This window comes from Homo sapiens, chromosome 16 (assembly GCF_000001405.40).
Source record: "Homo sapiens chromosome 16, GRCh38.p14 Primary Assembly".
Taxonomy (NCBI): Eukaryota; Metazoa; Chordata; class Mammalia; order Primates; family Hominidae; genus Homo; species Homo sapiens.
In genome coordinates this window covers 71,622,336-71,650,268 of record NC_000016.10, presented here as the reverse complement: position 1 = coordinate 71,650,268, position 27,933 = coordinate 71,622,336, and the positions used below count along the sequence as shown (strand labels likewise).

The 27,933-nt window shown below is 46.7% G+C and overlaps 2 protein-coding genes and 1 long non-coding RNA gene across 8 annotated transcripts in view, besides 2 other annotated features; 2 read left to right on the top strand and 1 right to left on the bottom strand.

The window, feature by feature from the left end:
* PHLPP2 (PH domain and leucine rich repeat protein phosphatase 2) overlaps positions 1–5,345 on the top strand; it is a 79,778-nt gene extending 74,433 nt beyond the window's left edge. For both annotated transcript variants that reach the window (NM_015020.3, NM_001289003.1), the window contains one exon: positions 225–5,345. In NM_015020.3, coding sequence (NP_055835.2) covers positions 225–1,379 — 1,155 coding nt within the window. In that variant the 3' untranslated portion in view covers positions 1,380–5,345. The remainder of the gene's footprint in view (positions 1–224) is intronic.
* Positions 5,346–8,303: 2,958 nt separating this feature from the next.
* MARVELD3 (MARVEL domain containing 3) lies at positions 8,304–24,085 on the bottom strand. 4 transcript variants are annotated; one of them, NM_001017967.4, is made up of 3 exons: positions 23,573–24,085; positions 20,775–20,902; positions 8,304–9,879 (listed from the first exon to the last, which is right to left on the bottom strand). In NM_001017967.4, exons 1-3 carry the CDS (start codon positions 24,037–24,039, stop codon positions 9,242–9,244), a joined length of 1,233 nt encoding a protein of 410 aa, NP_001017967.2. In that variant the 5' UTR covers positions 24,040–24,085; the 3' UTR covers positions 8,304–9,241. The 4 variants fall into 4 exon arrangements, with proteins under 4 accessions (NP_001017967.2, NP_001258258.1, XP_011521751.1 ...); NM_001271329.2 differs by having other exon boundaries at positions 23,736–24,085; XM_011523449.4 differs by lacking the exon at positions 8,304–9,879 and adding an exon at positions 10,374–12,358.
* Positions 9,349–12,434, top strand: LOC124903711 (uncharacterized). Of its 2 annotated transcripts, none has more exons than XR_007065108.1 (2): positions 9,349–9,434; positions 11,886–12,434. It is a non-coding gene; the product is annotated as an uncharacterized LOC124903711 (long non-coding RNA). The 2 variants fall into 2 exon arrangements; XR_007065107.1 differs by lacking the exon at positions 9,349–9,434 and adding an exon at positions 9,661–9,747.
* Positions 12,234–12,785: an enhancer, noted in NCBI's record as "OCT4-NANOG-H3K27ac hESC enhancer chr16:71671387-71671938 (GRCh37/hg19 assembly coordinates)". NCBI's record gives its function as "activates a minimal SCP1, AML or CMV promoter by ChIP-STARR-seq in naive H9 embryonic stem cells {active_cell/tissue: H9 hESC(naive)}" and the evidence as "EXISTENCE:reporter gene assay evidence [ECO:0000049][PMID:30033119]".
* Positions 23,215–23,264: a silencer, noted in NCBI's record as "silent region_7682". NCBI's record gives its function as "represses an Ori minimal core promoter by ATAC-STARR-seq in GM12878 lymphoblastoid cells {active_cell/tissue: GM12878}" and the evidence as "EXISTENCE:reporter gene assay evidence [ECO:0000049][PMID:35858748]".
* Positions 24,086–27,933: the final 3,848 nt, after the last annotated feature.

Sequence of the window (27,933 nt, the reverse complement as noted above, 5' to 3'; positions counted from 1 at the left end):
TTTAGTCACTTATTTTTACTTGGCTCTATAGTAACCATATAATATTTTGTCTTTTAGGACTTCTCTACATTTATTTGTGTGCATCCATTTAAAATTATACTAATCCATAGGAAAAATCATATATAAATTGTTTTATTATAGTTCCCTAAGCACTGTGATCTAGAAAGATAAGTTGGCTCTCATCGTTGCTTGTTTCTCAGAATTTGTGTCCTGCTCTTCTGTAGGACAACAAAGTGAATGGGGTAACCTGCTGTACCCGGATGCTGGGCTGTACATACCTCTACCCTTGGATCCTCCCCAAGCCCCACATATCTTCCACTCCGCTGACCATTCAAGATGAGTTGCTGATTCTGGGAAACAAAGCATTGTGGGAACACTTGTCCTACACAGAAGCTGTCAATGCTGTACGTCACGTACAAGACCCATTAGCAGCTGCTAAGAAGCTGTGCACATTAGCGCAGAGCTATGGCTGTCAGGACAATGTAGGGGCGATGGTAGTTTATTTGAATATTGGTGAGGAAGGCTGCACTTGTGAAATGAATGGGCTCACCCTCCCAGGTCCTGTGGGATTTGCTTCAACCACCACTATCAAGGATGCCCCTAAGCCAGCCACTCCATCCTCTAGCAGTGGGATTGCCTCTGAGTTCAGCAGTGAGATGTCCACCTCAGAGGTGAGCAGTGAAGTGGGGTCCACTGCTTCTGATGAGCATAATGCTGGGGGCCTGGACACTGCCTTGCTTCCGAGGCCAGAGCGGCGCTGCAGCCTCCACCCAACACCCACCTCTGGGCTGTTTCAGCGCCAGCCTTCTTCTGCTACCTTCTCCAGTAACCAGTCTGACAACGGCCTGGACAGTGATGATGACCAGCCCGTTGAGGGGGTCATAACCAATGGCAGCAAGGTAGAGGTGGAAGTAGACATCCACTGCTGCAGGGGGAGGGATCTGGAGAACTCACCCCCTCTCATAGAGAGTTCTCCTACCCTGTGTTCTGAGGAACATGCTAGAGGGTCGTGTTTTGGGATCCGAAGACAGAACAGTGTGAATAGTGGCATGCTCCTGCCAATGAGCAAGGACAGGATGGAGTTACAGAAGTCTCCCTCCACCTCCTGCCTCTATGGGAAGAAACTCTCCAATGGCTCTATTGTGCCCCTAGAGGACAGCCTGAACCTCATTGAAGTGGCCACAGAAGTGCCCAAGAGGAAAACTGGCTATTTTGCTGCCCCCACTCAGATGGAACCAGAGGACCAGTTTGTTGTGCCTCATGACCTGGAAGAAGAAGTGAAGGAACAAATGAAACAGCACCAGGACAGCCGGCTCGAGCCTGAGCCCCATGAAGAGGATCGGACCGAGCCCCCGGAGGAGTTCGACACAGCACTATGACTGCCCCACTGGGCACAGTGTGGGAGGAGGCTGTGCAGGGTTGGGGTAGGGACTTGCTAGAGGCATTCTGCCTCTACATTTCTTTTTGTTTGTTCGTTTTTTTTTTGTTTGTTTGTTTTGAGACGGAGTCTTGCTCAGTCGCTCAGGCTGGAGTGCAATGGTGGGGTCTCGGGTCACTGCAGCCTCTGTCCCTGGGTTCAAGCCATTCTCCTGTCTCAGCCTCCCGAGTAGCTGGGATTACAGGCACCTGCCATTATGCCCGGCTAAGTTTTATTTTTTTTTTTTAGAGACGGGGTTTCACCATGTTGGCCAGGCTGGTGTTGAACTCTTGACCTCAGGTGATCCACCCTCCTCTGCCTCCCAAAGTGCTGTGATTACAGGCCTCAGCCACCATGCCCAGCCCTGCGTCTACATTTCTAAACCATAGCTGTGTGGGGTTGAACTCGGAGCCAAAAAGTGTGAGAGCCATCAGGGGCTGGCTCTGGATAAACTGGTAGCCACTATCAGTGTTAAGTTTCACATTTAACCTGCATTGGAATTCCCAGGGGTACTGGGAAGAAAGCAGCTGTTCTGTATCAGTCCTACCACCTGCCATTAACCCTTTCTCTCCTAGGATCATTTTGAGAATTTGCCTGCCTGGGCAGGAAAGGGACTATTTCTGTGGAGGAAAAAAGTGAAGATTGATTCTCTTTACTAGTTGCTGCTGATGGATCTCTGTGACAGAGAAATCACCTTATCTCAGACTAATGGGGTGTGATGTGACTAGTCACATGGCTTTTCATTCTTCTCTACGAGAATACAGCCTATCAAAATGATGTCTGTTGGAAATGTAGAACCAATCAAACAGATAATTTATGTATGTAATGTAATGAGAGCACTTTTCATTGACTGTGAACTTTTTATTTTTGAATCTGCACTCGAGCCAATCTTCTTAGAGGCAGCCCGGCACCTTCATCCATAGGCAGAGAGAGAACTGGGTGTTGGAGACTTATTCGAGGGTATAGGAAGGGCCCTGTGAAGTTGATTTAACTTTTGGATGTCAGACTGTGAAAGCTCCTGAGAAACTTGGGGTAATAGGATCTTCTTTTGGGGATGAAAATGGGGAAGGCGTGAGGACCTAGACTACTTCTCCCTAGATCAGAAAAAGAGAATTACCCCTTGACAAATATGATACCTGCTAGGTATTTCCCAGGGAAATTTAGGGATTGGCGTCTTTCCCTAGCATGTGGAGGAATTGGCAGACAGCTTCCTAAGGGCGGGGAGCGGGGGCCCAAGGCTGACACTGCTTGCATCCACGTGACCTTAAGTTATGGCAGATGACTCTGAAACGGACTGAGGCCAATGAGAACAGATGGATGGAGCACTCAGGTTAGACTTGTTCCTTCTCCTATGCTGGAGGAGAGGGATGGTTCTCTAGAATGTTGGAGGTGAGTTGAGAGCTCGCCTCTTGAATGTTGAACAGTGTACTCTTCTGAAAACTGCATATTCACTTTATGTGGTTTCAGAATACTGGGCTCAATACTAACATAAGAAAGACACTTCATTGAGAAATTCTTAAGCTTACAGAAAACCTATACTCTTTGCACATTCCACATAACCCTAGCAAAATGCAGTTTCTTCATACTTCTGTCACTTTTTCCATTGGAAGATTTGCTTAGGAAAATTAATTCCTATTTATTCCCACAAAATGTTGGCATTGCTTGATTTTACCCAATGGGGAATGTGCTTTGAATTTTTGGAACACTTTTACAATTAAAAATAAAGTAGGGCCATTTTTAATTTGTTTCATCAGAAACTATGTTAAAGAGAGGGTTAAATATAAATATATTTTCGTGTGTATTTTTGGGAAGATTTTTGTTCAAAGCAATAGTCAAAATCAGATGACCTGTCCATAATAATTATGTGTCTTCATCTTCTCAGAGGCCCCATGCTCATATGCACGTGTCATTGGGATACACTCTTGGGGGATTTGGTACACTCTAATGGATGTCTAATGTTCAACCCCTCGAGAATCTGAACTTGAGTCCCCAGATTGTCAAACTACTGGTCAGCTATTGAGAATTTTAGAACTCAGGTCTTTGATTTGAAGTAGGGAACATAGTGGCTCACACAGAGTTTAGGTGCTGTTAGAAAGATGGGAACAAGAGTGTTTTGCCACCTTATTTTTATATGGGAAATTTTTTTTAATGAAGAAAAAATGAAAATGAAATAACAGGATGATAGTGATGAGTGATGTAAAACATCTTACTTAGATGGCAGAACCTTCGGGTTGTAGAATAGTGATGTCTAAAAATTAAAGTTATTTTGGGAATACACCACTTTAATAGTATAGTCTTATAAAAATTATTCATTATGGTGAACCCTTCTTGTCTGCTATTCGTTTCCCAACCTACTTATTGGAACCACCTCAAAACCCAGTTCTGAAATGACCTTACCAAAAGTAAATGTATTTATTTTTTAGTCAGCAGAACTCTGTAATTCCAAATGTTGTTCTGTGTGGTAGAATTTTTTTTCAGGAACCATTAGGTTGTATTGAAAATCTTTGTTATAGGCGATACCAAAACTGATTATTCTTTTTTGCAGTCTGCTTTAATTCATGTCCTTCTGCAGTTGCTCTGTATTAAAACAGGGTAAAAAGGCCATAGCCCATTATGAAAAATATAATACAAAACTCTTTGACCTATGAGGTAACTTACAGACATTGTGTTTTCTAAACAGGCTGTCAGTGAAAGCCCGTATCTGTCTCCAGGTGAATGTAATTTACTTCCGAGTACTTTACCCAGAGGATGTGTTCCCCAGGTGGGCAGAGTACAGTTGATCTCTAGCACAGACAGAGATTCTGGCCTCTGCATATTCTCAGGTCTCTGTGTGTACCTCCCATTGAGTAGAGAAGCTTAAGATAATTTCTGAGAGAAGAACACTGCTGATTGTGGGAGCAGTTTAGGAGTCCATGGAAGAAAGAAAAATACATGTGTCTTGGCAGCCATGGTGTATTTTTGTCCAAATGGATTGGAAGGATATTTGAATATTTGAATGTTGGTATGACATAAAGCTGCAGTGCACTATAGAGTCAAGTCATTGAATTACCACTCCTGATACAGGGCTTTATTGTACTACTGTGAAGTGTATGTGTGCAATACATTGGTGAGTTCATTTACTGGTGTACGGAAGAGCCAGCAGGAGCAGCGTGGTCATTGCTGGGTGCTATTACAGTTGCTTGTAGTGAGTGCTGTTTTCCAGGAGATGGAGCCAGTTGGGTGTGGCAGATCTACTGAATATCAAATGATGCTCTTCTTCCCATGTAGACCTTCAGCAAAAGCCGGTACTTGGAAGCCACAGGCTCACCTTCTCTATCTATCCAATAATTATTAATGAAGAGACCTCCATAAGGGAGCAGCTGGCTGTTATCGATAAATGTACCAATTATTAAATAATTAGTCTCCAAGCCATTCAGTGATGTCTTCAGCATCACTATAGGACTGTCTAGTGTCACTTTTTACTTCCTTCTGGGTGGAGGCTTTCCGACTCCCAATCATGAAGGCAAGTTAATCTTTCCAGTTAGTGACTTTTGCCCCATAGTTGGGGTAAGCACTTCCTAGATTGAGAAAAAGCAGCTACAGTCAATCCTGCTCTGTTTGCCTCATTTGGTGATCAGTCAGTCACACATAAGTTCCTTGTATTCTAAATTTCATGCACTTCTCCCAGATGCTATAGGGTTTTCTCTCACTGTTGCCAGTGGATGTCATCCAGACAGTGGGCTCATATCTTACGGTTTTGTGCAATCATTGTCGTATTGTAGTCTTAAGACTCATTATAGTGTATTTTTGATATTTTTGAAATGTGTTAAATTTTTTAATTCAATAATATGAGCCAGAGCATGTTGCAGCAAATCTATTGTTTGTAAAAATAACAATAACAATAATAAATAAAATAAAGTGGAATCTTTTTCATGGCTTTGTTTTAAAATGGAGTGCTTGTTATTTCATAAGTATTTTAGCATGAAGCTATAATTTTCTCTCCTAACTTGTTTGTAGAATTGGGTTCTTAACCAAAAGCACCTGCAGGATTTTCCTGGGGAAGATAAGTGAGAACAAACACATGAAACCACATTCCCTGACACTGCAAAGCTATGAGTTAAGGCAAGAATAAATATTTTTGATCTGCTTTTAAGCTGAAATGGCAATACAGATTTTTACTTTATGAAACACTATATTTTGCCTTGGTTTATATGCTTACAGAAATCACAACGCCAGGAAAAAGGAAAAAATCAGGAAACACCGTCCTTATTGACATGCAAATTAGTTGACTAGCAGAAACTCAACTGTAAACAATCCACAGTTCTGTCTAAATGACAGCTGACGACACCATGGAAAAGCCGGTCACATTTTTCTTGACAGCTTTGGTGTAAGAAGGAACTTCAGAGTCTTGGCTCATGAGCTCCAGTTAAGCCTCTAAATTGTCGCTGGCCTACCCCCACTCCTGTGGGTGTCTCCCATAATCTCTGGGCTTTCAAGCAATATTAGCTACCTCTCATTGATTGATTGATTGATTGAGACAGGGTCTTGCTCTGTTGCCCAGGCTGGAGTGCAGTGGTGTGATTTTGGCTCATTGCAACCTCTACCTCCCATGCTAGCATGATCCTCCCACCTTAGCCTCCTGAGTAGCCAGGGCTACAGGCAGGCATCATCACACCCAGCTAATTTTTGTATTTTTTGTAGAGACATGGTTTTGCCATGTTGCCCAGGCTGGTCTCGAACCCCTGGGCTCAAGGGATCTGCCTGCCTTGGCTTCTCAAGGTGCTGGGATTACAGGCATGAGCCACTGCACACTGCCTGCTACCTCTCATTTTAAATAAAGGTCAAGATAAAGTCATTTTGGAAGTTTCCTCTTCATCTACCAGAAGGAACATTTATTTATTTATTTAAGATGATATCTTGCTCTGTCACCCAGGCTGGAAGTGCAGTGGTGTGATCTTGGCTCAGTGCAACCTCTGCCTCCTGGCTTCAAGCTATTCTGCTGCCTCAGCCTCCCAAGTAGCTGGGACTAGCGCTGCCACACCTAGCAAATTTTTTGTATTTTTAGTGCAGACAGGGTTTCACTGTTACCCAGGTGGGTCTTGAACTCCTGAGCTCAGGCAGTCCACCCGCCTCGGCCTCCCAAAGTGCTGAGGTGGCATGAGCCACCGCGCCCGGCCATTTATTTATTTATTTTTTTGAGACGGAATCTCGCTCTGTCGTCCAGGCTGGAGTGCAATGGTGCGATCCCAGCTCACTGCAACCCCTGCCTCGCAGGTTCAAGCGATTCTCCTGCCTCAGCCTCCCAAGTAGGTGGGATTATAGGCATGCGCCACCATGCCTGGCTAATTTTTGTATTTTTAGTAGAGACGGGGTTTCACCATGTTGGCCAGGCTGGTCTCAAAACTCCTGACCTCAGGTGATCCACCTGCCTCGGCCTCCCAAAGTGCTGGGATTACAGGCATGAGCCACCACACCTGGCCAGAAATGGTTCAACAACCATTTATTGAGCACCTTCAACATGCTTTTATACCTCAGTTCCACGAGACACACACCTCCCTAGGCCAGCATGGCAGAAATGAATCAATGTCATGCTATATAAATTCCCCGGTACACCAAAGGCCACAAGAGTATGTTAGTATGTTAGAACACATTCCAGTGTGTGATTCAGTGGGGCTGAGTTTTGCCTCTGCTCCTTAAAAGTTTTGTGACTTCAGGCAGTTACTTAACCTCTCTAAGGCTGTTTTTCTCATTAAATGTTAATACTAATATCTTTTATCAAAGGTCTTCTTTATCACAGTACTGTACATACCTGGCACACAGTGGGCATTAACTCTTTCATAAACCACCTAACCTTGAAGCTTGTCTCCTTATCGGTAAAGTGTGAACAATACACGTTGGCCTGTCTGACTGACAAGTGGTAGTAAGAGAAGACTTGCTAAAGCATCGTGAATGTTATAAAGCCGTAAGATGTGGGAGTGTTGTTACAGTGATGGCTCCATTCCCTTGAGAGGAGCTGCCTCTCCGGAGCAGTACTGGCGCTGGGCCTGGGCACAAGGTTGGGGTCAGATAGGCCAAAGTCTCCATTTTATCAACCAAAGGACCCAGACGTGGGCAAGGATCTAATAAGGACCTATTTCGGGGAATACATGCTAGGTGAGAATAGTGGCTGGGGTTGGTGGTATTTCTCTGGAGGGTAGGTGGAGAGTGGGTCGCTTGATTCTGGCTGCAGTTATACTTCTCATCTACCACTGAGTGAAAATTGTGTGGGACTCTAGCCACTGCCTTGGGCTAAGGGTGATGGAGTGGAGACACTTTTCTGAGGCACCACAACTTTTTTTTTTTTTTTGAGACGGAGTCTCACTCTGTCACCCAGGCTGGAGTGCAGTGGCGCGATCTCAGCCCATTGCAACCTCTGCCTCCCCGGTTCAAGCAGTTCTCTGCCTCAGCCTCCCACGCAGCTGGGATTACAGGTGCCTGCCACCAGGCCGGCTAATTTTTTTTGTATTTTTTGTAGAGACAGGGTTTCACCATTTTGGCCAGGCTGGTCTTGAACTCTTGACCTGGTGATCCACCTGCCTTGGCCTCCCAAAGTGCTGGGATTACATGTGTGAGCCACCGTGCCCGGCCAAGACACCACAACTTTTAACCTAGCGATGTAGATCTCCAGTTGATTATTTTCCAAGCTTTATTTTTATAAAAGTATAATCTAGATCTTTTCCGCTTAGGTAGGAGGCTTAGCTTCGATCCTTTGTCCTGAACAGGTTCCATAAGAATTCACTACTAAAAAGCAAGAGGACAATTAGCAAAAAGACCATAACGAGAATGTATATTTCTAGTTGCATCTGATTTGAACTAATATATTTGGGGCAAGCTGTAAAGTATAAGAATAGGTATAAAACACGTAAGATTAAAATTACTAAAAGAACTTTATTTTTAAGATTCAGTGTTAGTGATCTGTTACATTATGAGAACAGTCCAGGGTAATGAGATTACTATCTACCTTTGAAGACCTACTCTATGGAGCACTGTCAGGGAATGCAGAAATGAAAAAGCCTCCAGTATGCTTCAGGGTCTAATAAAATCTACTGTCCTATCTTTTTTGTTGTAGTTGTTGTTTTTGAGACAGAGCCTCGCTCTGTTACCCAGGCTGGAGTGCAGTGACGTGGAGTGGAGTTTGCTCACTGCAACCTCTGCCTCCCAGGTTCAAGTGATTCTTGTGGTTTAGCCTCCTGAGTAACTGGGATTACAGGCGTTCACCACCAAGCCCAGATGATTTTTTGTATTTTTTTGAGACGGAGTCTCGCTCTTGTTGCCCAGGCTGGAGTGCAATGGTCTTGGCTCACTGCAACCTCTGCCTCCCGGGTTTAAGAGATTCTCCTGCCTCAGCCTCCAGAGTAGCTGGAATTACAGGTGCCTGCCACCACGCCCAGCTAATTTTTGTATTTTTAGTAGAGATGGGGTTTCACCATGTTTGCCAGACTGGTTTCAAACACCTGACCTCAGGTGATCTGCCTGCCTTGGCCTCCTAAAGTGCTGGGATTACAGGCGTGAGCCACCATGCCCGGCGATTTTTTGTATTTTTAGTAGAGACAGGGTTTCGCTATGTGAGCCAGGCTGGACTCAATCTGCTGACCTCAAGCGATCCGCCCACCTCAGCCTCCCAAAGTGCTGGGATTACAGGCATGAGCCACCATGCCCGTCCTCAATTCTTTAACTTTGCCTCAGTCCAAAGAGAGCATTTATAAAGTCAAGTGTGTGAAAACCATAGTTGTCTAATGCGGAGTTTTAAAAGACCTGTCTTTTTGAGAGAAACAATGTGCGTTCACATTTAGGTTCCGGAAGATCTCAAAGAGTTCCAGACCACAGATATTCCGGTGCATCACTGTAACTTCCGGGCTGTTCTCGGCTGCCTTTGTAGCGCTTCTGTTCTCGGTAGCTACGCAGGGCCAGCACCACGCTGGCGCCGTACATGATCACGAGAAGACAAGCAAAGGTGGCTGCTGCTCCGTCGGTGCCTGCCAGCTGGCAGTCCATCCAGGTGAGACCCTTGCGGGCATAGAGCCTCTCTCTTGTTTTGCAAGTGTCGGTGCTATTGATCTGCAGAGCCACGTGGAGGTAAACACCAATGCCTGTGCAGTAGCCCACTGCCGCTAGGAGGCTGAAGGCGGCCTCCGTGAGGAGCCACTTCCCTGACAACATTGTTCGACTCTTGGCTCCTTGGAGTAAAACACCCATGGTGAGGACCCCCAGACCCAGAGAAACAGCCACGCCACCGTATATCAGGGGCGAGCGGAGGATCGTGTACTGCTGGTCCAGCTGCCGAACCTGCTCTAGCTCAGTGCCCTCGAACGGTGAGTAGTAGTTGTTCCCAAAGCCACCGCCGCTGGAAAAGCTGGCACTGAATCCGGCAAGGACAAAGTAGGAGGCCACGATGCATATGAGAACCATCCCATTCAAGACCACCTCCACTATCTGCACCACACCTAGGAGAAGAGAGATTCGGGCTTTAACACTGACATTACTCACCCAGGCCAAGCCAGAGACATACCACAGGCCACCTGATTTTAAGGACGTGGTTGATTCAATGTCAACTTTTTTTTTTTTTTTTGAGACGGTGTCACTCTGTCATCCAGGCTGGAGTGCAATGGTGTGATTGGCTCACTGCAACCTCCACCTCCTGGCTTCAAGCGATTCTCCTGCCTCAGCCTCCTGAGTAGCTGGAACTACAGGCACGCACCACCCTGCCTGGCTAATTTTTGTATTTTTAGTAGAGACGGGGTTTCACCATGTTGGCCAGGCTGGTCTCAAACTCCTGACCTCAAGTGATCCACCTGCCTTGGCCTCCCAAAGTCCTGAGATTACAGGCGTAAGCCACCTCACCCAGCCTCAACATCAGTATATTTAATTTGCTTTTTGTTTTTGTTTTGTTTTCAATCTATGTTTGAAAAATCAAATTACCACTCTGAAAACAAAGACGTGGACATAAATATTCATTGTAGCTTTATTTATAATAGCCAAATATTGGAAACAACCCCAGTGTCCTTCAGTGGGTGACTCTGGTTACACAAACGGGTACACCCATACCATGGACTACCCTACTCAGCGATAAAAAGGGATGAACTCCTAGGCTGGGTGCAGTGGCTCACGCCTGTAATCTCAGCACTTTGGGAGGCTGAGGCGGGCAGATCACTTGAGGTCAGGAGTTGGAGACCAGCCTGACCAACATGGTGAAACCCCATCTCTACTAAAAATACAAAAATTAGCCGGGTGTGGCAGCACGTGCCTGTAGTTCCAGCTACTCTGGAGGCTGAGGCAGGAGAATTGCTTGAACCCAGGAGGCAGAGGTTTCAGTGAGCCGAGATCATGCCACTGCACTCCAGTCTGGGTGACAAAGCGAGACTCCATCTCAAAAAAAAAAAAAAAAAAGGAATGAAATCCTGATACATGCAATGACTTGAATGAATCTCAAGGGAATTATGATGAGTGAAAAAGAACCAGTCTTGGCTGGGCGCAATGGCTCATGCCTGTAATCCCAGCACTTTGGGAGGCCGAGGCGGGCAGATCACCTGAGGTCAGGAGTTCATGACCAGCCTGGACAACGTGGTGAAACCCCAGCTCTACTAAAAATACAAAATTAGCCAGGTGTGGTGGCAGGCGCCTGTAATCCCACCCACTTGGAAGGCTGAGGCATGAGAATTACTTGAACCCGGAAGGCAGAGGTTGCAATGAGCCGAGATTGCGCCATTGTATTCTAGCCTGGGCGACAAGAGTGAAACTCTGTCTCAAAAAAAAAAAAAAAAAAAAAAAAAAAAGAACCAGTCTGAAAAAGTTACATACCGTGTGATTTCATGTATGTAACAGTCTCAAAAGGACAAAATTATAGAGAAGCCCAGATTGGTGATCAACAGGGGACAGGAATGAGTAGGGATGGGGGAGGAAGGAAGAAGATGGATGTGACTATGAAGACTTAGCACAGGGATGTCCAGGGTGAGGGAACAGTTCTGGATTGCATCATGGTGCTGCTCACACAAATCTACACATGAGATAAAACGGCTTAGAACTACAAACACATACATATGTGTGCAGGTAAAAGGGGGAAACCTAAATGAGCTCTGTAGATTGTGACTTTCCTGGTCTTGATATTGTACTAGTTATGCAGTATATTATCATTGGAGAAAACTGGGTTAAGGATACACAGGAGTACTCTGCACTGTTTTTGTGACTTCTTGCAAATCTATATTTCAAAACGAAAAGTTTCTAAAAAATTGAAATGACATAAGATATAAACTGAGAAATTTCACTCATACCGTCTCTTCAATGTTGCCAACCGCTTTCATTGGTTTCAATATAATTGTCCAGTGTTCCTTTATGCAAATAAAAAGCACATTTAAATCTGCATTTCATTCCCTTCCCTGCATTTTTCCACAAAAGTAAGTGTACCATGTACACTGTTCTGCATCTTGATTTTTTCATTTACTGTATCTTCCAGATGTTTTCAGATCAGTTCCTACAAGAGGAGCCACATTTTGTTAAGTGGCCTTCGACTTCATTGTATGGATGGATTTGTCTATTCAACCAGGACCTTACTGATAGATATTTGGACTGAAAGGAACCCACAAATGGCACGAGGCAGAGGAAGCCAACAGGCCAACAGACTGAAGATCTTCTTGTCCGAGGTCAGCTTTTATTTGTTACTGACAGAGGCCCCAAATCCTTCTTAGGTGTCCTTCTGGGAGAGGGTCTCCTGCCATTCCCGTGGTGTTCAGGGATGAGCATGAAGAGAAATACAAATGAACCGAGAGCAGGACCACCAGGTTCAAGTCCCCGCTTTTTACTGCCTTGTCATCTTGGCCAAGCCATTCAGTCCTTCTAAGCCTCAGACAATATGACAAATGAAGCTAAGTCTGCCAATCTTCACCCACAGGGATGTGGGGAGGCTCAAATGAAAGCAACCGTGTGATACTGTGGGAAGTTAACAACAACAACAAAAAAGCAAGTATGTGAAAATACTCTAAAAATAAAATAATGTACAAATGGATAGTGACGCTACTCAGTAATGTTTCCAAAATGGAAGGGGATTGGTGAGAAACATAATAAAGAATGGGATAAATTTAAGAAGAGTGTGGTTTCCCAGAAATCAGGACAACCCTCTAACACACTAGGGGGTACCATGATGTTTATAATCAGGGCAGTGAAAGACTCTAAAGTACTTAGGCAACAGCTACTCAGCTTGCTAATCCTATCTCCTGCTGGGCCCACACAAATTCCTAGCGGTCCACAGGGACATAGTAGTTGAGGGCTCTGATAGTTGAGAAGTTACATTCCTCTAATTTAAAACTGAAAATAACGTCAGACTAAAACTGCCCACTCATCACTCCGGCACAGTAAGCTGCTGGTTTACACTCTCCCTACAGCAGAGCAAGTGAATTGACCCAGACATCATTTTAATTCATGGGGGTTAGTGGACCCTACACCTTTCTCTCCCTTGGTTTTCCTTCTTCATGGACGTTAATATTTCGCCCCCTGAAGGAAAACAGAAATACTATACTGAAAATACTGAAATTCCTCTGGGACGGATTCAAAACCCAGGCAGCATCTATCTGTTAGGCTACAATGGAATAAATCTAGATCTTGTCAATCACCTGTTGACTGCGCCAACTGACAGGAATAATGGTCTTCTGCTGGGTCCAATGATATTCGGACTGTTGAAGGAATATGGCCAGGGAATATTATCCCAGGTTCCAGCCAGGGTTGGCCTGGCTTAGCTATCAATATCAAGGCAGGCTCAAGTATTTCCAAGCATGCTTTTAGTGCAGAAAGACACATGGGGCAGGGGAAGGGGAAAAGGGTGGCGAGCAGAGCTAGCAGTTTATCTCTATGGTGGGATGGGACACGTCTCCGGAAAGACAGCAGAGGGTTTGGTAGAGGGAAGCAGAGATCCTGAAACGACATGAGATCTTTGTTGTAAATAACGTCTTTCTGGGTCTGGCGTGGTGGCTCACGCCTATAATCCCAGCACTTTGGGAGGCTGAGGTGGGTGGATCACTTGAGCCCAGGAGTTCGAGATGAGCCTGGGCAACATGGTGAAACCCCATCTCTACTAAAAATAAACAAATTAGCCAGGCACAGTGGCACGGGCCTGTAGTTCCAGTGACTCGGGAGGCTAAGGTGGGAGGACAGCTTAAGCCTGGGAGGCAGAGGTTGCAGTAAGCTGAGATCCCACCACTGCACTCCAGCCTGGGTGACAGAGCCAGATCCTGTCTCAAAAATAAGAAATAAAAAAATAAAAAAAGTCTTTCTGGGTGAGGCTGTTTTTGTGGCTGATCATTTAATAATCTGCTTAACTATATATCCATACCTGCCTTTGAACTTTAAATGTGGTCCTGAAAAAAACTGAGGAGAGCAAGTCAACTTTTTTACTTTTTATTTTTCTAAAATTAATACATGTGCAGTCAAGCCATGTATAAATGAAAAGTCCCCTTCTCTTCAAAAGCAAAACTTAATACTTTCTGATGTTATTCTTCAAGAAATTTTCCAATCATATACAAGCATGTATATATATATTTCCTTTTCTAAACTCAAATGGAACTCACCTTTTAAATGTGAAAAATTGTCTGTATTTAAGAGAATATTATAAATGTATTGTAAAGAGGACATCAACTCCAAATTAAAATTCTTTGGATTTTTTATTGGATTCACATAAAGCAAAGAACTTACTCACTTGGACCGAGAATATATTGTAATGTTCCATAAGTCATAACTTAAGGACCGAGAATATATTGCAATGTTCCATAAGTCATAATTTAATGTGCAGTAAGAACCCATGAAGTTGTCTGACCAAAAGTAACACTCTTCTGTTGGGAAAGATTTTACATCCTTTTATTCTGGATGAATCCTGAATTCTAGATGTTGGGTTTAATGCTTCACACAATGGCACATTTACAAGAGGTACAAAACACTTATTGAGCTTTCAGGGCCACTGTAAGGGGCTTGCAGAATAGCCTCTTTGCAACCCAGAGAATTAATCTGATTCCTCTTTCCTCAGCCCACGCCTACCTCCAACTTCAATTTTACAGGAGTAGTTTCCCAAGAGTCCCCACCCCCTCCATTTGCAGAATTAAGGAAGTGGAAGGACTGGAGAGTTCAGTGTGGAAAAACGTGTGGAGTAATCTGCTTGAGACAACTGTGTTTTAGAAAAATTCAGGCTGAAGTGTGGTCTCATGTCTATGTGGCTCTCCATGAACTTTTTTTTTTTTTGGTATTTTGGCAATACGGTCTTGGTCTGTTGCTCAGGCTAGAGTGTAGTGGGACAATCATAGCGCACTGCAAACTTGAACTCCTGGGTTCAAGCAATCCTCCTACCTCAGCCTCCCAAAGCTCTGGGATTACAGGTGTGAGCCACTGTGCCCAGGAACTTTGAAGGTAAGGTTCATCAAATTCTCTTGGTGACCTCCCTTTACTGAATGAAGAGGTGCACTCTGTTGTAGTACATGCTTTTTCCTTGTGGCTCTTGGGGTCCAGTTTTTTTGCTTTTTTTTTTTTTTGAGATGGAGTCTCGCTCTGTCACCTGGGCTGGAGTGCAGTGGCGGGATCTCGGCTCACTGCAATCTCCGCCTCCCAGATTCAAGCGATTCTCCTGCCTCAGCCTCCCAAGTAGCTGGGATTACAGGCGCCCGCCACCACGCCTGGCTAATTTTTTTGTATTTTAGTAGAGACGGGGGCTCACCATGTTGGCCAAGCTGGTCTCGAGCTCCTGACCTCAAGTGATCCACCCACCTCAGCCTCCCAAAGTGCTGGGGTTACAGGTGTGAGCCGCCGAGGCCGGCCATTTTTTTGCTTTTTGAAAAATAATTTTGATTGGTCCCTCACTCACAGAGGACTCCAGAAGCCAGGGTCTGTTGCATCCATGAACACCGCTCCATGCGACTGGGAGCTCCGCCCACCACACCAACGCTGGCTCGCTGCTTTTCCAGCACTGGAAACTTCCACAACAAGGGATTCTTGGGAAAGGCAGTGGCTCAGACTACCTTCCACCACCACTTGCATCTGTCAGAGCGTTTTAGAAACCCTTAAAATTCAAACATTTCTGCTGGCTTCTCTTTTAGCTTCCTAACTTTTCGGTAGCCCTTTATGGCCAGGACAGCCCCCAGGGCAAAGACCACAATGCCCAGGGCAGCAAAGATTCCAGCTCCTATATCTGCTCCGTGGAAACTGCAGCCGAAACCGCTGTAGCCTTTGCTTTGGTACAGCGCCTGCCTCTCTTTACACACAGGAGAGCCATAGGCAGCAGAGAGGTAGTGGAAGTAGAAGTACAAGGCCGGGATGTACCCCCCCGCGATGAGCATGTCCAACAAGCCTTCGGTCACCAGCAACAGTGGACAATGCCACGGGACCCGCAGGACACCCATGGCAACGAAGAGGCAGCAGAGGGCTGTGAGGGCTCCACTACAGGCCATTGCCACAGTGACCATGGGCAGCTTTAGCTGGTAGAACTGGACATCCAGTTGCTGGGCCTTCTCCCCGTCAGCACCATCAAAGCCACTGTAAGCCCCTCCGAACTGATAGTAGTAAATGCCCCCCAAGCTGGTGATGCCCGTGTAGCCCCCTGTGGAACTGTAAGACACAGAGCTGCAGGCCAGGATCAGCAAGTTCAGGAGAACCTCCAGCATTTGGCAGCAGGCTGCAAAAAAAGGGTGTTACCATTTTTGAGTGATGCTGTTTGGCACCAGGAGACTCTTCCACCTGAGGCCCACCTTCCGCGCAGGGCTCAGACCCCTGAAGGCTTCTGGCCCTGTGGAAGACCCGAGGCCAAAGCAGCGCGATTAAAACTAGGGGGCAGTAGGGAACTGTGGTCTCCAGAAATGGTGCCAGAAATACTATGGACTCAGAGGGGTGACTCTCAAAAGAGCAAAGCGGTGTGCCCTGAGAGAGCGGCAGGAGGATGATGGGAGAGATCAGGCCAGTGAGCAGGAACAAAGCCATCCTGGATGGAAGGGCAAGAACATTCCACCTCCCACCACCAGAAAGATGAAACAAGGCCGGGCGAGGTGGCTCACGCCTGTAATCCCAGCACATTGGGAAGCCAAGGTGGGAGGGCTGCTTGAGCCCAGGAGTTTGAGACTAACCTGGGCAACATAGTGATACCCCATCTCTAATTTAAAAAAAAAAAAAAAAAAAAGACTGGGTATGGTGGCTCACGCCTGTAATCCCAGCACTTTGGGAGGCCAAGGCAGGTGGATCATTTGAGGTCAGGAGTTTGAGACCAGCCTGGCCAACATGGTGGTACCCTGTCTTTACTAAAAAATACAAAAATTAGCCAGGCATGGTGGTAAGCACCTGTAGTCCCAGCTACTTGGGAGGCTGAGGTAGGAGAATCACTTGAACCCGAGAGGTGGAGGTTACAGTGAACTGAGATCGCGCCACTGCATTCTAGCCTGGGCGACACTCCGTCTCAAAAAACAAAAGCAAACACAAACAACAACACAAAAAACTAAACAAGTTGTCTCTTCTTTTTTGAGACAAGGTCTCTGTCACCTAGGCTGGAGTACAGTGGCACAATCACAGCTCACTATAGCCTTGACCTCCCAGGCTCAAGCAATCATCCTGCCTCAGCCTCCCACATAGCTGGGACTACAAATGCATGAACCTGGGCCTGGCTAATTTTTGTATTTTCTCGTGATAAAGGTCTTGCTGTGTTGCCTAGGCTGGTCTCAAATTCCTTGCTTCAGGCGATCCTCCTGCCTTGGCCTCCCAAAGTGCTGGGATTACAGGCGTGAGCCACTGCACTGGTCGTTATCTCCTCTTTATATATGTTCTGTGGTGAATACAATTTGTAAGGGGAGAGTTCTCCAAGTTTGAAGAAAATCACAGAGCTTAAACAATATAATAATTCAGAAAAAAAGCGTGGAAGTTATACATCAAAATGTTAACTGTGGTTCGTGTATTAGAAATAAGAAAAATTGGCCAGGCGCGGTGGCTCACGCCTGTAATCCCAGCATTTTGGGAGGCCGAGGCAGGCAGATCACCTGCGGTCACGAGTTCTAGACCAGCCTGGCCAACATGGTGAAACCCTGTCTCTACTAAAAATACAAAAATTAGCCAGGTGTGGTGGTGCATGCCTGTAATCTCAGCTCCTCAGGAGGCTGAGGTGGAAGAATCGCTTGAACCCAGGAGGCGGAGTTTGCAGTGAGCTGAGATTGCACCACTGTACCCCAGCCTGGGTGACAGAGTGAGGCTCTGCCTCAAAAAAAAGATAAATAAATAAATAAAAAATAAAAAAAAAAAGAAATAGGAAAAATTAAGTTAATTAAACCCTTAATGCTTACTGAATTAAAAAGTTGTTTTATTGTTCTTAGACTTTAACTTATAAGTATGTCTTAAAGTTTAATGCTGTTTTATTTAGTTCCCTAAAGAGTGTATCTGGGCTGTGATATTTTCCCAGAGCTGGATTCTTCCCGGTCCCTTGGCTTCTTTATCTTGGACAAAGAAAACTGGCTGCTTTCCTTAAAATCAACGTTAGTGAAATATAACTTATATGCAACAAAATGACCCACATTAAGCTTACAGCTTGATGCGTTTTGACAAATTTATGTACCATGTAACCATAATCAAGACACAGAACATTCTCATTAGCCTAGAAATTTCCTTAGTGACGCTTTGCAGTCAATCCCTCACTTTCCTTGTCAGCAAACCACTGATCAGCCCTCTCTCATTAGAAACTAGTTCTGCCTTGTGTTGTATGAAAGGAAAGAAGGTTAGAAACTAGTTCTGCCTTTTCTAGAATATCATGTTAATGGAATAATACGGTTATGTCCTTTTGTGTGTGTGGTTTCTTTTGCTCAACATCATATAAGCTGGGTGCTGCTGAGCTGGAAATTGTACATGCTGCCAACGTCGGCCTGTCAACATCCTGCCTGATGTTTGATAACCAGATTTAATGCCTGGTTCCAGTTGGTCTATTCATGAAACCACAGCTACACATTGTCTAAATGAAATGATGATGCTCTCTCAAGTGCGATCTTTACACTGTATAATTTTCCCCCAGAATGCAAACAACATTATTGTTTTCTTTCTTTTTTTTACAGACAGGGTCTCACTCTGTCACCATTTTATTTATGAAAGTTATATGGCCAGGCGTGGTGGCTCATGCCTGTAATCCTAGCACTTTGGGAGGCCAAGGCGGGCAGATCACGAGGTCAGGAGTTCAAGACCGGCCTGGCCAACATGGTAAAACCCTGTCTCTACTAAAAATACAACAATTAGCTGGGCATGGTGGCACGCGCTACCTCCCAGCCACTCGGGAGGCTGAGGCAGGAGAATTGCTTCAACTGGCACCCGGGAGGCAGAGGTTGCAGTGAGCCGAGATCATGCCACTGCACTCCAGCCTGGGCTACAGAGCAAGACTCTCAAAAAAAAAAAGACAGTTATACTTACTTATAACAACAACAAAAAAAGAAAATGTAGAGTTAAGAAAACATGCAATGTAACAATTGCCTGTAATACAACCAATTTAAAAAAATCACTGTGAATATTATATTTTTTCCTGAACTTTATTTGTATCTTCATAACTTTTGTTTTTTTCTCTCATTAAGAACACAGTCCTCTGGATATCTTACTGTACTTCTCTGAAGCTCAGGAGCTGCTGACAGAATTACAGGCTGTGAGGTTGTGCCAATATCTGCAACTAGAGTAATGATCCTTGTACCTGCATTGCCTAGAGCACTTTCCTCAAAGTTCCTATAATCCTATAATCATATGCATCTTTGGAATTATCCTGAGATTACATTTTCAGGTATGAGCTCCATAAGTTCTCTCCCTTAGGCTGGAACGTTTTCTCCCTTAGTCATAGTAAACCAAGAACTATTTCTCACCAAATCATGTGAACTATAAGCTCTCACCCAGACAAACCAGATTTTCTTCATTGCTGGCAAGGCCAAGACCGCTAGAATGGGAACCTGGGGACGCCACATTTGGGGTGGATACATGATAGGCTGGAAGTGTTTTTCAGACTGTGGGTCCTAAATAACTATGGTTTTTAAAAAATGATTTTGTTCTTAATGAACGGGATAGAAAATATCAGAATATTTGGTATATAATAGGGTCAGTATGGTTTCACAACATTTTTGTTTCTGTGTGTGTGTGAACTCGGTCTTAATGTAAAAAATGTATATACGTAACAACCTTGTGAATATATTATGTGTGTGTATATATATATATACATATATTTTATTATTTTTGTTTTTTTTTTTAAGACGTAGTTTCGCTCTTGTTGCCCAGGCTAGAGTGCAATGGCGAAATCTTGGCTCACTGCAACCTCCGCCTCCCGGGTTCAAGCGATTCTCCTGCCTTAGCCTCCTAAGTAGCTGGGATTACAGGCATGAGCCACCACCCCGGCTAATTTTATATTTTTAGTAGAGACAGGGTTTCTCCATGTTAGTCAGGCTGGTCTTGAACTCCCGACCTCAGGTGATCCACCCACCTTGGCCTCCCAAAGTGCTGGGATTACAGGCGTGAGCCATCGTGCCTGGCCTTATTATTTTAAAAATTTTTTAAATTTTTAATATTTTTGAGATGGAGTCTTACTCTGTCACCCAGGCTGGAGTGCAGTGACGTGATCTCTGCTCACTGCAACCTCCTCCTCCCAGGTTCAAGCAATTCTCCTCCTCACCACGTTGGCCAGGCTGGTCTCGAACCCCTGACCTCAAGTGATCCACCCACCTTGACCTCCCAGAGTGCTGGGATTACAGGCGTAAGCCACTACGCCAGCCTTTTTCCCTTTTTTTTTTTTTTTTAAACTAGAGATGGGGTATTGCTATGTTGCCCAAGTTGGTCTCAAACTCCTGGGCTCAAGTGATCCTCCCTCCTGGGCCTTCCAAAGTGCTGAGATTACAGGCATGAGCCACTGTGCCTGGCCTCAGTCAATAAAGTTTAAAAGCCATTGATCAAATGTTGGGCGTCAGATCTTCAAGGAGAACAGGTGCTGCAACTTGGCTGCCCACGCCAGGTGACTTTCCCTCTCTGTTAATTCAGCTGCCTCGCCAGAAGATCCCTCCTCTGACAGCTGGCAGCTCATAGCCAGTTCCACCTACAGGCCTCTGCACTTCCACCTGGAGTCTGAAAGCTGCAAACATGGCTGCTTGCCTTTGCAAACCCAGGGCATGTTTAAGGAGAAGCACAGGAAATCTAGCAGCACTTTTGAGACGTTCCTCCTTTTTTTTTTTTTTTTTTTTTAAGAAAACAAGAACCTCACAAGTACAGAAATGAAAATGCTAGGAACCCACAAGGGAATCTGCTTAAATTTTTGCTTCACCAGCTCAGACCATCCCTTCCAGAACCACCAGTGACAGTAAATGATCAAACAGCCTGCAAAACGGCTCACCTCTCCCAGTGCACAAGTATTTGCATTTGTGGCATTCCAGGAGTCCTTCCGCCTCTGACTGGTAATATTCCACCTCCTCTCGTCCAGGCCTGGGGGTCGAGGGCAGATATCTCTCCGAAGGGGGTTCACTATAACCAAAAAGCATACATGGTCATTAGGGGGTGTCTCATTCAATAGCGTTCAGGATTAGAACTCTTGACTCCTCGTGCTGGGCCCAAATATTAGCAGAACAGAAATAGAATTTGTCCCGGTATTTTAAACTCCAGAGAATTCTCTGGTTTAGTGGCCCCACGGGACATCCAAATACTTGGCCCAGCTCCACTAACCACGTGACAGATGCTGTGATTGGTACCGCTGATGGTTTGTCTGCCCCTGGGAGCTGTCTCACCAGGTAGCTGCGAGCTGCCTTCCTGTGAGTGCAAGTTCTCAGTTCAGCATGCACCAGGCCTCTTCAAAACCAGTTTGCATTCACATGACTCTGATGCCCAGGCAGGCATTCTCTTCCTCCCTTTGTTACTTTGGAAAGTGTTGAGTCAGCAATAACTCTCCAGGAGCATGGGAGCTGCAGACCACGGATTTTGACATCATCACATCATTTCCTCCTCTGGCAGCCCTAGCATTTTCTGTCCCTTCTCTCCTTGCTTTATGCAGCACATCCTGGGCTTTGTCCAAGATTCAACAGGGGGCTGCATTCTACTTGCCAGGCTCCCACAGTCTTTCTAGAACATCATGTCTCTCTTAGGTTTGAAATTTTTCAAACTTTTAGCATGCACAGGAGGCCCCTGTTCATCTCTCTACACTCACAACCTCATGCTCGCAGACCCAGCCATACTGAACTACCCCCTTCCCCTCAAAAGATGACTGCTTTTCCATGCCTCTGGGTTACTACAGAAGCTATTCTTCTCCTTGGGACACCTTTCCTCTTCCTCCTCAGTCTTCCTTTTTTTTTTTTTGTTTTGAGATGGAGTCTCACTCTGTCACCCAGGCTGGAGTGCAGTGTCGAGATCTCAGCTCACTGCAACCTCCGCCTCCCAGGTTCAAGCAGTCCTCCCACCTCAGCCTCCCGAGTAGCTGAGATTACAGGCGTGCGCCACCGCGCTCTGCTAATTTTTTTGTATGTTTAGTAGAGATGGGGTTTCGCAGTGTTGGCCAGGCTGGTCTCGAACTCCTTACCTCCAATGATCTGCCCGCTTCGGCCTCCCAAAGTTCTGGGATTACAGGTGTGAGCCACCGCGTCCGGCTCGGACAGTGGTTTTTAAAGAAACCTAAAAATGCAGCTCTGAATTCTCCCAGGTCCTGCAGTTGCAAGTGCAATGGGCTTTAGTCAGGGAAACAACAGCTGTTTCCCTGGGCGAAGCTTTGACTGTATCTGGGCGCACCCTTTGTTATGCTAGTTAGTTTTAGATAATGTAACATAAACTCAGGATAGGAGCTCTCCCGCTGTGTGGACATAGCAGGGAGACAGACTGGACTCAGCCTCCAAGTCCCTGGGAGAGGGGAGCCTGACTCCTCCCTAGAGGAGAGGCCAGGTGTCAAAAACCAGAAGCAGTCGTCACCTCGGACCTGTCTCCTGTTGGAGCTGGCAGGGGAGATATCCCATCTGCTCACAGTTCACCGTGTGGGGCACATTATCTGGGTATTCAATGGATGGAAAAAACACCAGGTCCCTAGGAGGCGGTGTGGGGACCAGGTCCCCTCTTGTCTTCCCTTCCCCCCCCACCCTCCCCTAGCTCACAGAGTCTTCCAGTACACCCTGAACCTTTCTCCTTACAAGGGGCCTATGGGAATTCTGTGCAAGGCAGAGATGGCAAAGTTTTTTCATTAGGAGGGTGCGGTCTCAAGCAGCCGTGGGATTCGAATGACGCTGCCTAGAGAGACCTCACTGGCAAAAGGGAAAACAAACCTGTACCCTTCAGTGGGAGAATTTTACGTAGACTTTGTTCTTTGGTTAAAAATGTAGCGTCTCCCATCTGACTTTTTTTTTTTTTTTTGAGACGGAGTCTCGCTTTGTCGCCCAGGCTGGAGTGCAGTGGTGCGATCTCGGCTCACTGCAACCTCCGCCTCCCGGGTTCAAGCGATTCTCCCTCCTCAGCCTCCCAAGTAGCTGGGATTACAGGCATCTGCCATCACGCCTGGCTAAGTTTTTGTATTTTTAGTAAAGACGGGGTTTCACCATGTTGGCCAGGCTGGTCTCGAACTCCTGGCCTCAGGTGATCCGCCCGCCTCGGCCTCCCAAAGTGTTGGGATTACAGGCATGAGCCACCGCGCCGGCCCACCTGTTTCTGAAGGCACCTATTCCTGGGAGGGGTAACACATTAAACTATTAACTCTTCATCGGGCTTCCCAAGTGGGCGGCCCGGCCACAAGGAAGGGGACTTTGGAGTCGGGAAGGGCTGGCTCTGGAACACGGGACAAGGGTCTGAACCCCAAGGCGCAGTCCTGTGACCATGCGGGCCGGGCCGGGGAGGAGCCTGGGGTGAACCCCACCCGCCTGGTCTCCTCCCACCCCTCCCTCTCGGGTCCCGGGGCCTCTCTTTCTCTTCTCCAGGTCCTCCAGCCCAGCCACTGCTCACAGGGGTGGTTTTTGCTTTGTTAGTTGGGTTCAGGCCACGAGAAGGGGGAACCCTAAAGTTTTCCTTCCCTGCCAGGTCGCCTCTGAGAGCGCAGAAGGGAGAAACGGCATTTGTTCATTTAAACGGGCTCCTAGGACGAGAACCCGGGGACGCCAGGGCCTCGCGGGCCGGCCTGGGCCACAGGTGTCCCCGGCGCGGAGGTCGCAGCGCCCCGGCCCCTCTCACCTTTCGGGTCTGCGGCGCCCGGGGTCTCCCTTCCTCTGCGGCTGCGGCGGCTCCGGGGCTTCCCAGGGCGCGGGCCCAGGAGGCGCGGCTGCGTCCCAGGTCAGTCCCCGGGCTCCGTCCCGCGTCCGGCTTTGGCGCGGTTTTTCCCAAACTCCGTGTTCACCTGCGCGAGGGCCCGCGTCCCTGTGTGTGTCCCGGCGGGGGCCTCGGTCCGGGTCTCTTTCCCTCTCTCTCTCCCTCTCCCGGTCCCGGTTCCGGTCGCGGTTCCCGTCCCTCTCCTGGTCTCTCTCCGGGTCCCGGTCCCCGTCCCTTCGCCGGTTCCCGTCGCTGCTTCGCTTCCTGCGCGGGTCCCCGGGTCGGTCCCGCGGTCGATCGTGGGTGCGGCCTTGGTCTGGGTGGGGGCGCCGTCCCGGGTCCCGCTCTCTCGGCCGGGCCCGGGGCTCGCGAGCCCCCGACGGATCTTCCATGGCCGGGTTCCGTGTCCCCGCCCGGGAGCGACCTGAGGGCAACAACCAACAAGTTTCTTGGGCAGGTGGCCAAGCCCGGGGGCGGGGCGGGCACTCACCTGTGCGCATGCGCGCTAGTCCGGGAGCTCACCTGAGAACGGGCGCCCTCAGGGGGCGGCCTGAGCGCGTCTGGGGCCCGGGCGGGAGGGGTGCCTGTGTGCTGGGTGGGGGCTGGGGTGCTGCTGCTGGAAACCCGGGCGGGGCGACCCACAGCCGCACCTTTCTGCCCCGAAGTAACCCCTTGGTGACCCCACGAGGTGGGCGGCCTAAGGGAGCCAACTGTGGCCACCTCCCCTGGCTCAACTTACACTGCAACTTGGATTTACCTTCCCAGAGGTACCCATCCTCTCACTCACTCAGCCAGACACTCATTCATTCACCCAATCACCCACTACCCGCTCATCCATTCACCCACCCATCCACCCACTCACCCACCCATCCACCCACTCACCCACCCATCCACCATCCATCCACCCATCCACCCACTCACCCACCCGTCCAACCATCCACCCATTCAACCACTCACCCATCCATACACCCGTCTATCCACCTATCCACCTACTCACCTACCCATCTAACCATCCACCCATCCATCCATCTATCCACCCACTCACCCACCCATCCACCACCCATCTACCCGCCCACTCACCTGCCCATCCGCCCACCCACCCACCCTCCATCCATCCATCCACCCATCCACCCACTCACCCACCCATCCACCCACCCATCTACCATCCGCCCACTCACCCACTCACCTGCCCATCCATCCACCCACTCACCTAACCATCCACTCTCACCCACCCATCCACCATCCATCCACCCACCCATTCACTCATCCACCCATCCACCCACCCACTCACCCACCCATCTACCAACTCACCCATCCATCCACCCATTCATCCACCCACTCACCCATCCAGCCACCCACCCACGCATCCACCCATCCACCATTCATCCACTCACCCATTCATCCATCCATCTGGCCACTAACCTACCCACACATCCACCCAGTCACCCACCTTCCACTTCTCCCTCCACCCATCCACTGTCCCTCTTTCTCCCTTCTCCTGTTTTCCTTATAACACCTATGTTGTAAGGGGCTTGCAGCCAGTTCATCTATCACAATAGTCCTGGGCTTACAAATAGCCCTGTTTTTTAAAATGGGGACTTACACAAAATTGGCAGCTTTTAATTCTGCCAAGTAAGGATATTACAAAATATATACAATTGCCATCTGGTAATTAATTCTTTCAGCAAATATGTATGAGCACCTGCTTTAGCAGGTACTGGAGATATAGTGGAAAATTTGCTTGCAGGGTGATTGCATTCTAGTGTGTCAGGAAAAGGGAAAACAGGTAGTAAACAAAGAAGACAGTGTCTAAAGTTTAATGGGAAGGGCAGGTTTCCTCATATAGACCTGGGAAGATGTCGTTTGAATTGAGTTCTGGATGACAAGAAGGCTGAGAAAATGTCCCAGAAAGAGAGAAGGTTGAGGAACGCGGGAGCTGGACAAGGAGGTCCCTGGGAGTAGAGTTGGTGGGCATGAATTGAGGCTGGAGAAGTGGACCAGGCAGATGGTGTAGACGACAGTGTGCATTTTTATTCTAAACAATGGGAGAACATTGAAGATTTTGAGGAGGAGAGTAAACCTTTCTGATTGATATTTTTGAAAGACCACTCTGGCTTCTGTGAGGAGGGTGGATGATGGAGGCCCAGAGTAGAGGGAAGAGATGAGTTACAAAGCTGCTGCTGAAGGAGTCCAGGTGAGGGTGACGGTGGCCATGGAGACAGTGACAAGTTGACAGATCCAGGTTGTAGTTTTGGGGAAGAATTTACAGTATGGATCAGATGTGGGGAAATGAGGGGAGGGGAGGAGTGACCAGGTGAATGGTGGGGTTTTTCACTGAGACGGGGGAGACTGGACAGAACCAGATTTGCGGGGAAATTAGAGAGTTCCATTTTGGACATGGTAAATTTGAGATGGCTATAATTCATCCAAGTGTAGATGTCTAGTTGCAGTTGAATATATGAGTCTGAAATATGGGGAGAGGATTGGGCTGGAGATGCTCTGTGGGAGTAGAGAAAGGAGGAAAGTAGAATGGAGAAGAGGCCTTAGGCAGAGTCCCTAGGGAATTCTAACTTTTAGAGCTAAGACTCAAGAGGATTAAGAAGTGATGAGTGAGTAGAAGGAAAAAGAAGAGGGTGGGGGTGACAAGACATCAACCTCCAACCCACAGAAGTGCTACTGTGACCCCTGAAGCCTTTCTTCCCAGAGTGGAGAGGATGGGGCCAAATTCTAGGACCTTCCACAAATCTTTATTGAGCAAAGCCCTGTTCTGAACCCGGGACAACTATGGATGCAGAGGAAGCCTGGTAAACAAGCAGACACAGGATGGTTTGTGGAACAGCATAGCCCTTCCTCTCTTCGACCTTCGCTCTTGACTTCTGCAGACCTCTTTCAGAATAAACAAACCCTCAAACCAGCTTGCCTTTTAGTTTCATTTCTCTTTGTTTTGTGTCTTTATACACAAATTATTATCATTTTGCCACATTTGTTCCATCTCTCTATATATGGATGAAAACTTTAAAAAATGAAACATGTGTGCTAAATTCCAGACACATGGCTCTTCCCCTAAATACTTCAACATATTTTTCCAAAGAATAACTTCCTCCTACACAGCCACATTACAGTGACCACAATCCAGAAATTTAGCATTGATATTATGTTATCGAATATATACTCTATAACCCAATTCCCCTATTATTCCAATAATGTCCTTTATATGTACTCCCTCCCCACTTAAAATCTGAGGATTCAATTAAGGACTATTCATGATATGTGAATAATGCATTGTCACATCATCATCATCATGTCTGTTTAGTCTCCCTTAAGTCTCCTTCAATCTGTAACAGTTTCCCAACATTTTTTTTCTCTTTCACAGCATTGACTTTTTTTTTTTTTTTTTTTTTTTTTTTTTTTTGAGACGAGTCTCGCTCTGTTGCCAGGCTGGAGTGCAGTGGCGCCATCTCAGCTCACTGCAACCTCTGCCTCCTGGGTTCAAGCTATTCTCTGCCTCAGCCTCCCGAGTAGCTGGGATTACAGGCATGCACCACTACGCCCAGCTAATTTTTGTATTTTTAGTAGAGATGGGATTTCACCATGTTGGTCAGGCTGGTCTCGGACTCTGGGCTTAAGTGATCTGCCTACCTTTGCCTCCCAAAGTGCTGGGATTATAGGCATGAACCACTGTGCCAGGCCACACAGCACTGATTTTTTAGGAGAGTTTAGTCCAGTTATTTTTTTTTTTTTCAGACTGACTCTCATTTTGAGCTTGTCTTATGGTTTCCTTATGATTATATTTATGTTCAATATTTTTGGCAGGCAGATTAAAATAGGTGATGTTGTATCCTTCTTGGTACATCCTATCAGGAGGCACAAGATGTCAGTTTGTCCCATTATTGGTGATGTCAAATTGATCACTTGGGCAAGGTGGTGTCTGCTATATTCTCCATTTTAAAAGTACTTCCACTTTTATATTTAATAACTTTGAGACAATGTGTTTCCCCACAACCTTTCTTGCCTGAATCAATTATTGCAATGATAGTTGCAAAGTCATGGTTTCTAATTCTATGAATTCTTCTAAATTTATTAATTTGTTGACATTCTCCTGTAAAGAAGAATTTTCCCTCTTATCCAGCTGATCATCCCACAGAAACAATTTGAAAACCACACCCAAAATTTGGTTCCAAAACTGAGACAGATGCCCAAAACATACCATGAAGGAATAAAAATATTTATTAGTGCCATAATGAGGCTTTCTGGGGAGAGCAGAGCAGGTTTCCAAGTAGGTCTGA

Bases quoted from the DNA above. Each gene is read 5' to 3' on its own strand.
- MARVELD3 (NM_001017967.4), bottom strand. From the start codon at position 24,039: ATGGAAGATCCGTCGGGGGCTCGCGAGCCCCGGGCCCGGCCGAGAGAG. The intron at 20,903-23,572 runs GTGAGAGGGGCC...TTTTGGTTATAG, and splicing joins GGGCGCCGCAGACCCGAAAG to TGAACCCCCTTCGGAGAGAT. The intron at 9,880-20,774 runs GTGAGCCGTTTT...CTCTTCTCCTAG, and splicing joins ATACTTGTGCACTGGGAGAG to GTGTGGTGCAGATAGTGGAG.